The sequence below is a fragment of the Homo sapiens genome, chromosome 9, assembly GCF_000001405.40.
Source record: "Homo sapiens chromosome 9, GRCh38.p14 Primary Assembly".
NCBI classification, from domain to species: domain Eukaryota; kingdom Metazoa; phylum Chordata; class Mammalia; order Primates; family Hominidae; genus Homo; species Homo sapiens.
The window spans coordinates 17,529,141-17,539,956 of NC_000009.12; positions in this window are offsets into that span (position 1 = coordinate 17,529,141).

Below are 10,816 nucleotides of genomic sequence, written 5' to 3' on the forward strand. Positions count from 1 at the left end.
TCACTCTTTGTAGACTTTTTTTTTAAGTATCTGTTTCTTTTATATTTGTTTTCTTAATTGTCTCCTAAAGGGTTATGACATTTTATTCAATTTTTTTTTCTTAGAATATCAAAGACAGTCATAAGAATCTGGAGATTATCTTCATTCTTTAAAAAAATGATGATAAATGGAAGAGGTACATTTAGGCAAATGTTGTCCTAGGATGAGATCAGTGATACACACTCCTGTACTGCCTCAGGAGAATGCTAAATTACTATTATTTTTTCTTTTTTTAAAAAATTTATTTTAAGTTCTGGGATACATGTGCAGAATATACAGGTTTGTTACCTGTGTGTACCAAACACATATACATGTGCCGTGGTGGTTTGCTGCACCTATCAACTCATCATCATCTAGGTTTTAAGCCCCGCATGCATCAGGTATTTATCCTAATGCTATCCCTCCCCTTGCCCCCTACCCCGCTATAGGCCCCGGCGTGTGATGTTTCCCTCCCTGCGTCCTTGTGTTCTCATTGTTCACCTCCCACTTAGGAGTGAGAATATGTGGTGTTTGGTTTTCTGTTCCTATGTAAGTTTGCTGAGAGTGATGGTTTCCAGCTTCATCCATGTCCCAGCAAAGGACATGAACTCAGAGAAGGCTAAATTATTATTACACTTTAATTGCAAAAAGGCTTGCAATAATCTAAGTTACCATCATGCATCTACGATAATTTTATCCTGGAGTTTTGGGAGATGAATTTTATGTACTATATCAGCAAGTCGTTGAAAAAAACAAGCTAATGTGGGAACTCTAACCAGTGGTTCCATAACATCGTCGTGTCTAAAATTCTCCCATAGTAAGTAAAACAATATTTTGATTCGATTTGGTCTTTAAAAAGTATGTCACATATTCCTTCCTTCTTTCTCCTAATTTTATTAGAAAAAGCAATATAGTATGGTAGTTAAGTACATAGGCTTTAGAGCCAGACAAACTCAAGTTCAGGTCTAATTCAGCCTCTTATTTGCTGCTTCTTTCTTCTTGGCCAGGTTGCTACTTAACCTCTCTGAATCTCATCTGAAAAGTGGGTATAATATTTCTCATAGGGTTTATGAATGGAAAGCACTTAGCACAGTTGAATAAATGACAGGCATTATTATTATTTGGGGGAAAAGAAGGAAGGGTGAAGTGAGGAGTATCACCAAACAATACTGTAAATTGTGAATTACAGCTCCAAGGAGATTAATAAAATTATATGGATTTTTAAACTGTGATAATCCATGAAAGCTCAGAAGACCCACCTTTCCATAATGATCCCACTAAGGATTTGCTGTGAAATTCAAAGCAAATTATCTAATGACTTTAGGACTCAGTTTCCTTATCTATTTTCACAGCATGTCCATGACCACAGATGTGGGTCAAAGGCCAGAAGGAATTTCCTGAACGTTCTGTTCTTTATAAGACCCCTCAGACCCTCAGTCAGTTCTGAAATTAGGGTGAGGGTTGGGTCATTGGAAACCCCAATAGTAAGCCTGATTGAAAGCCTCACCAGCCCCACAGGACTGGGGTTCAGAAAAGCTTCAATTTAATTTAGAACAAATAGAGTGTTTACACATCTAATGATAACAAATTTGCACTCATTCATAAACACAGACACAGTTTTTTTTTATTTTGAGACGGAGTCTTGCGCTGTCTCCTGGGCAGGAGTGCAGTGGCGCCATCTCGGTTCACTGCAAGCTCCACCTCCCAGGTTCAAGTGATTCTCCTGCCTCAGCCTCCTAAGCAGCTGGGATTACAGGCACCCGCCACCACGCCGGGCCAATTTTTTTGTATTTTTAGTAGAGAGGGGGTTTCACTGTGTTGGCCAGGTTGGTCTCGAACTCCTGACATCGTGATCCACCTGCCTCAGCCTCCCAAAGTACTGGGATTACAGGTGTGAGCCACTGCACCCGGCCACAGATTTCTCTTATATTCATTATAGAGCCTTGAGGCCTTACAGGAGTAAAGAAAGATATTGGTTTGTTGAGTGTACTTGGTGACTCAGCTTAGCTGATGTGACATGTGCTGAAAAGTGAGGAAGATACTTCTAAACCTAACCTGGACCTTTGGGCAGCAACTGGTGACAAAAATTGACACAGGATTTACAGGAATCTAAGGAAATACCTAAATACCATTGAGATCTACCTGTTATTTTTTACTTGAAGTACGTGCTTTTGGTGAATAGAATACATTCTCTACCCCATCAGATCTCTCACCAGACATGTTAACTAGTGACCAACTGATGGACTGGTGGTTAATTGCCTCTGTCAACCCCCAGAGCAGAAAATGCTAAGAAATAGCCAAGAGCAATGTAGCCAGAGGAGGACAATTAAGCCTTTGTTTTAGAAATTTGCCTGAGTAGTTTTCACTGGGAATTAGGGGGACTTTCTTTTTTCCAATTAGTATCCATTTTGAAATATTCAACACAGGGCTGAATACTCAAAGCAACCCCTCGGATTACCCAATCCTTACTCTCAAGTTTGTTGTGTTCCAGGTGTTTCGCTGTTGCCTTAATTTTTAGGCTCACTATTCTGAATACCACATTTTCGACCCAGGAAGACAGTGAGAATTCACTGAACAGTGAGCAACGCAAGCAATTTTTACTAAAAGTGAAAGAGAAGTCAAGAAAGCACCACCAGGGTGCTGTTCTTTTCAAATAAAATACACGTGTCAATAACAGCAGTGGACACCGGGGGGCAGTAACACACAACATAGGCAGCCTTTTTTTTTTCTTTAAATTTTATAATTAAATTGCATAAATTAAATAATGGTTTTCCAAGTTTCCACTTTGAAAAAAGAATTTCCCCAACAGTGTCTGCTGGTCAGGAGATACCACGCAGAGATACATGACTCAAAAGGTTGTCTTCTGGATCTTAATCAGAAGATCTGATTCTGTTTGTGAATCCAGTAATATTGCCGTTTTACATCTTTGACTTGAAATTAGGACAGACTATCTTTTTAAATTGGCTTTTACTATTTTCTCTCATCTCATGGCAGAATGACCAAAAGCTATATATAGTTTTTTTTTCTTGTTTTGTTTCTTTATTTGAGATGGAGTCTCACTCACGTCGCCCAGGCTGGAGTGCAATGGCGGGATATCGGCTCACTGCAATCTCCGCCTCCCGGGCTCAAGTGATTCTCCTGCTCAGCCTCCTAAGTAGCTGGGATTACAGGCACACACCACCACACCCAGCTAATTTTTGTATTTTTAGTAGAGACGAGGTTTCACCATGTGATCCAGGCTGGTGTCACATATAATTTCCTATATTCACGTTTGTAAGTCAGCCCTTCCTAGTTTGAGAGGACAGACTAGGCCCTGGGGTTGTGTGCAGTCTTTCCCTGGCCATGGTGATGGGCTGGAGTGCAGGGGCCGGGGGATGGAGCTTCTGCTTAACAATGGTTTTAGGGCCGCGGTCATCTTGAGGCAGGTGTGGCAAAGGCACCCTGGAGAGGAGAGGTGAAGAGACCTGGAGGCGCCAGGGGTTTGAGAACAGATGGAGAGCAGGTGACCCTGGAGCTCACCTTCCTCGGGGCAGGGACAAGAGGAAGGCCACATGTGCCCCTGTGCAGAGCCAGCTCCCGTGGGACACACAAAGGCATCCACACCCTAGGAGTTTCAGCTTTTCTCAAGTACCACCTCCAGCCTCATCACTCTGCCAGCTGCTCCTGCTTAACTTGTCAGACTCTAGGGACCTATGGCAAGAAGATCACTGGACCAACCAGGAAAGGAAAATACTAAGGCTTCAAACTTTTGGAAAGCTACTGGCCATACTTTTATGGAGCACAGAAGAAAAACAAATCCTCAAGTATCTGATGCTGTTTAGAAATAAGTATAAACTGCAGTTCATCCTTAAAAATAGCTAAATAATAACAGCTGACTGTATATAGTGCTGAAGGGGGTTGGCCACGGTTCTAAAGTCATTTAATTCTTATAAAGACCCCATGGAGCATGTGCCATAATTATCCCAGTTGGGGAATCTGTGGTGCACAGAGGCTAAATGACTCAGCTAAGGACGCTTGAGCTTTTAAGAATTGGAGGTGGGATTTGAACTCAGGCAATCTGGTACCGGAGGCTACACTCTGAACCATTACGCTCTGATGCTGGCAAAATGAGAAATGCAAAGTTTCCTCCTGTAAATGAAAGCAAAGCAAACCCTTACTCTGAATTTCTGTAACTGGATTTGGAGTTAAGTTACTTGAATACATATATGATAAATTGTCTGAATGAAAAATGCTGTTTTACATGGATACCTAACTCATTTAAAACTTATAATGGGATTTTTGCCTTTAATTATTCTAATTCCACTTCCTGGTTACAGATACTTAAAAAAAAAAAAAAAAAAAAAGCTTTTTTACCCCTCTACTGGAAATCAAGCATCCCTAGAGAGAAATAGCGTCTTTTTCATGACCTTTTTTAGCACTTGGCATATTTATCATGGGGTCTAACTCAGAGAAGGTATTCCATAAATATTTATTAGCTGCTTGTACAGCTTTAATAACTATTGTTGCTTCAATAAATATTCATTATGGGTGAAAAGTACATCTGCCAGGAGCTCTTGTTTTACTATATATCATAATAGGAAAATAAATTTATGAGTTTCTAAAAGATGGAAAAATTTATGAGCTAAAATATATCTTAATCACTAATGTATTTTTAAGAATCTTTGATAGTTTCTTAAATTGTTAATGCATCCAAGAGGAGAGGGAGAAGTGGTGAAATTATGTAAATAACAAATTCAGGATTCTTAAGAGAAGACGGGTAAGATTATATGATAGACAATAGGCTAGGCATTTTTATAATTACTTTTTTTAGCTTCTCAGAAATGCTAAAAGGCTATTATATTGTTCCCATTTTCCAGATGAGGAAGCTGAGAGTTAGGGAAGTAACTTCCTTTCCAACTAGTCAGGATTTGAATATGTCTGGTTTCAAAATCCACACCCTTTCTATTATACATTATATCAATCAAGAATTCATTCTATAGCAATAGAACTTGTTGATGGTGGTTTAAAACTGTGGGATTTATTTTCTCACATGAAAGGTAGTGTGGAGACACCTGGGCGTTGGCAATGGCCCAGTGTCTGGGTGATGTCAGGGCAATGATACTGTGATGTTCTCAGCCTTTCCTCACGGTTGCAAGACTCAAGGGAGGAAGATGAGAAGGGGAAGTAGGCCCTCAAATCCAAAAACTTTCTTAGGAACCTCACAGCAGATTTCATTTATATCCCATTGTCCATAACAGAGTTAAGGAGGAGGATGATAAAGAGTTGGACAAGCCAATGATCAGTGTCTACACAATCAGGTTGTGATGTTTGATAGTAGATTCTTTTGATGTTGTCTCTGTAGGGTAATTGTTAAATGATCAAGCAGTTCCTCTGAGCTCATCTCCAGCGGGTACATTCTGGGTCAGAAGAACTGAGTTTTCAAGTGCATCTCGGGTATCTGGTCACTTTTGCTTCTGCCAACATAGTCTTGTCCAGTGTCAGAGAGAGGACATGCTGTTAAGTGCTGCCACTTTTCATGTACTTCCTACAAGTACCATGTCTGTAGCTCTGTGCTGTAAAACTGGGGCACTGGGTTTTTCTACTTTCTGATTTTTGGGTTTCAAATAGAAAGAGCATCAGACAAGGAGTCAGAAGGCTCGGATTCGAGTCCAGCTTTGTTACCCGTGAAGTGACCTGAAATAAATCCCTTAAGCCCCATGGACTTTTATCTTTTTCATCTTCACAGGGTGGTGATAATATTCTTGGCTGTTTGTCAGGGTTGCAGAATGTACTAGTAAGCACTCTGAAATCACCGAGGTCTTATATAAATGAACGTGTCATTACCGTTATTAGGTCCAAAGGGGCCCTCTGGATCCAAGCACTGCAGTGACTATCTTGGATCTTGAGGCTGTAAGATCTCAAAGTCTGGAGCCTCTGTCATCCTTATTTCCATTTCCTGAAAACTAGCACAATGCCTGCACTTAGTGGCAACTTATTAAATGCTTATTCAATGAGGGAGTGAGTAGGTGAATGACTGTATGCATTTTTAAAAATGAATGAAGCCCAATCCTATGACAACTGAATTCTGGCCCTTTGGCTCTTCCTGTGCTCTTGCATGTCTATCTGCCTGCTGGAGGTACTGCCTGAATGGCCTTCGCACAGCATCCAAAAGTGATTTTACCTCCAAGGTACGGTAGCTCTTATCTTCTGCTCAAAGCTGTAGGACTTCCTATTCCTGCCACCAGCATCTCTCTTCTCCAGTCCCTGGGCATGCAGTTCCAGATTTATATTTGTCTCTTTGTTTCCTCTCATTCTCAACATCCTATCATTTGGCAAGCCTCTGAACAGTATTGTACTTCTGCAATATTCAGGTGTGAGACAGACTTCAGCCACCACGCAGTATTGCAAAGAGCTGCTCCTGATTGTGAGACCCTCTCTTCTTTCATAAGGTATTGATGCAGCTGTGGCAAAGTCTGACTTTGGTCACAGGGATGGCTTAGTCGGGCCCTTGCTCTGAGGCAGAGACTGGGCTGGATGCTCTCGGAGAGTCCTAGCCTGTCTTAGGGACCCTGCCTGTGTGGATGTGATCCTTCATGATCAGGCATTGCCAGCAGCAGACTTGAGTCTACATTTTCTCAACTAAAGAGCCATGGGTTAGACAATGATACCATGTGTTCAGATAAGGCACTGAAGAATTATATGCTCAGTTTGGATTGGGGATTCCTTTTCACTTTCACCGTTTGTAAAATAATCATCTTTATTAAGATTTAATTCACATACCATTGAATCCACTTATTTAAAATGGATAATTCAGACTTTTAGCTGTTCACAATATTGTACAACCATCACTACAATAAATTTTAGAACACTTAAATCACTTTACCCCCTCCCACCGAAAAAAAAAAAATCCTTACCCATTAGCAGTCATTCCCCCTTTCTCTTCCTGTTCCCCAGCACCCCTGCCCCTAGCCCTAGGAAACCACTAATCTACTTTCGGTCTCTATGTATTCATCTTCTCTGGACATGTAATATAAATGGAATTTTATCCTATGTGTTTTTTTGTGACTGGCTTCTTTCACCTGGCGTGATGTTTTCAAGGTTCGTCCTTGTTGTGGCATGTATTACTAATTCATTCCTTTTGATGCTGAATAATATTCCATTGTATGGACATGTCGCATTTTATTTTATCCATTCGTCATTGATGGATATTTGTGTTGTTTCTGTTTTGCGTCAATGATGAATAATAATGCTGCTTTAACCATTGGTGTATAAATTTCATGTGGATATGTTTTTATTTCTCTTGGGTAGATATCTATGAGTAGAACTGCTGGATCATATAGTAATTCTATGTTCAACCTTTTGATGAATGGTCAGACTGTTTTCCATTGCAGATGTACCATAGTGTAACTGTTTTTAACTCGGGGACAGTTTTAGCATCAGAATAGAGAAGGGCATTTAAAGTGAGAGTGATAAGTGGCTAAGATTTTAACATGTCAAAAGAAACACAATGTTATTTTACTTTAAAGTACTGTGCATTTATAATTTGTGTCCAAGTCTCTATTAGCAAATCTTCCAGGAGACAGGATTGCATTCTGCCATCTGGCTTGTCCATGGCAGAGGTAACATACCTGGTTAAATATTCTTGCCTTTAAAGTCACCTTCACTGGAAAGTGGTCTTGAACCAGAGTCTTTCTCTGCCACCCCTTGTGCCCCTTGTCAGGTATGTTCAGCCTCAGCCTAGCGGCTGGTGCGGTGCTTGTGTATCATTCCATTCCTGGAGTCCATGCTTAGCAAAATCTTTTGCCCATGGATCTTTTTCTATAGTGGGTGACTATGGTAGAGAATTATATTACAGAGGCAACATCGTGATCTGCCAGTAGAATGCGACAGAGAAAGAGAGAGAGGAAGAGAAAGAGCGTTGCTAGGAATAGGGCATTATCCCCACAGTAGTTAAGGAGGGTGGAGGAGAAGAAAAATCTGTTTTCATGACTTCAAGATTTTAGATGGTATGTTCTAGAATTCTGAATACATAAAATGTAAATGCTATAACTCTGGGTTTAATTCTGTTGGCTTGCCTTCATAATTTAAGAAAATAATATGGAAAGATAAGACAGAAAAATATATCATTGTCAGCTGAGTGTAACCCTTTTTAGACTATATATCTCACCTCTGATATACTGAAATTACATGAATTTCTTATTTTAGCAAAGAGGAGAGAAAGTGTTTTTCTAGCAGATTTAAATGTCTCTTTAAAATAGTACTGGTAGTCACTCCCTATCTATTTCTTCTTTAAAAGAGTTAGGATTCAATGGACACAGTTTTAGGAAACTAGTAAGTTTTAAAACATACAGAATGTTAGAAGTAGAGGAGAGATAGCTAAGGAAATTGAAGCCCAGATAAATTAAACATGGTGCTCAAAGTCTCCCGGTCAGCGGCAGCTCTGGAACCACAGCCAGAGCATTGACCCTCAGGCTGGGGCTCCTTACCTGTACACACTGCCTCAGTCTGCCCTGGCTTTCCTGCACATGGAGGGCAGCAAGGAAGGAGCCTGCTAGCTGGGCACACCTGAGCTCTTGTGCCCACACGTGCTGGGACTCAGTGGCAGCCATTAATAGTACACAGTGGTGGGGTAAGAAGTCCTAGCTCTCATATCTGATCCTCACTCTTGGCAACTACTGTGACAAACAATGCCACTGTGTGAATTATAACAACCCAACATTCCTGAGCATGGTTAAGCCCCTCACCAGGGCTTGAGAGTGGCCCATAGGCACAAGCTCAGCCCCACTTGTACCTTTACCTGGGAGGTCTCCTGCAGGGCCTAACCCACACAATCTTGTAGGATGATCCCATTACTCTTCAAAGCAGATCACTTTCCTCATCCACAAAATGACCAATCACATCAACCACATGAATAATAAGACTCCTCTAGTAAGGATTTGTGATGATTGAATGAGACCATGTCGGTAAAAGTGCTCTGTAAATCAGAAAAGATCACCAAAAAATAATTGTCATAAATATTTGTGGAGGCACACACACAGGCACGCGTGTACACACACACACGCAAACACACGGCTTTTATCATTTTTAAATACTTAGAAAAGTTTTTCAAGTCCTTTAACCTAGTAAATGGGCCTTCGTAACCAGAGAAAATGCCCTTGGTTCTTGGTACCAGAGAGAATCTCAGCAGATATCTTAGCAAAACATAAAGAACAAAATGAAGGGTATTCCCTGAGCTAGCGTTTCTCAAACTTGGCTGCATATTAGAATAGCTTGGAGAATTTTAAGAGTGCCCAGGTCTTACCCCAGAAATTCTGATTCATTTATTTGGTAGATTTAGGGAGTGGGGAGAGGCAACCATTTATAGTTTTAAGCTCCTAGGTGACAGTAATGCACATCCAGCATGGAGAGAAACGATTTTATGCCACCATCCCTTAATCATCTTCCTTCCTAGTTCCTTCCCAGGCTTTGTGAGGCCAGACAATATTGCAGTCGACAGTCAAGCTCAGGTGTCCTCTGATGTTGCTGGAAGCCCAGTGGCCTGATCTGACAAACTTAGACCCACAATCAAATAAGGAGCCAGGGGCCACTTTGGATCCTAACCATCCATATCTGAAGAGATCATTGAAGTGACTGTATTCGTTTGCTAGGGCTGCCATAACAAAATCCGACAGACTGAGTGGCTTAAACCACAGAAACTTATCTTCCCACAGTTCTGGAGGCTGAATGTCCAAGATCAGGTTTCTTCTGAGGCCCCTCTCCTTGCCTTGCAGATAGCTACCCTCTTGCTGCTTCTTCACATGGTCAGCCCTCTGGGCTCACACACCCTAGGCATCTCTTTTTCTATGTCCAAATTTTCTTGCTTTCTTTTTTTTTTTTTTTGAGATGAGGTCTTGCTCTGTAGCCCAGGCTGGAGTGCAGTCATGTGATCTCAGCTCACTGCAACATCTGCCTCCCAGGCTCAAGTGATTCTCCTGCCTCAGCCTCCTGAGTAGCTGGGACTACATGTGCACCACCAAGCCAAGCTAATATTTGTATTTTTAGTAGAGACAGGGTTTCACCATGTTGCCCAGGCTGGTCTCGAACAACTGGCCTCAAGAGATCCACCCACCCTGGCTTCTGAAAGTGCTGGGATTACAGGCAAGAGCCACCACATCCAGCCCAAATTTTCTCTTCCTATAAGAATATCACCTAACAACCTAATTTTAACTTAATTACCTCTTCAAGGGTAATTAAGTTAATTAATTAACTTACAGTCACATGCAAAGATACTGGAGGTTAGGACTTCAGTATACGAATTTGAGGGGGAAACATTTAGCACATAACAGTGGCCTCAATAAAGAAACTGATGGTGTATCTGGGACAAGGGAACCCCATGTTGGCCCCCTGCAGTTACATCCGGGCTGGGATCAAAAAAAATGCACTCAGGGAGGAGCCAAGATGGCCGAATAGGAACAGCTCCGGTCTACAGGTCCCAGCGTGAGCTACGCAGAAGACGGGTGATTTCTGCATTTCCATCTGAGGTACCGGGTTCATCTCACTAGGGAGTGCCAGACAGTGGGCGCAGGTCAGTGGGTGAGCGCACCGTGCGTGAGCCGAAGCAGGGCGAGACATTGCCTCACTCGGGAAGCGCAAGGGGTCAGGGAGTTCCCTTTCCTAGTCAAAGAAAGGGGCGACAGACAGCACCTGGAAAATCGGGTCACTCCCACCTGAATACTGGGCTTTTCCAATGGGCTTAAAAAACGGCGCACCAGGAGATTATATCCCGCACCTGGCTCGGAGGGTCCTACGCCCACGGAGTCTCACTGATTGCTAGCACAGC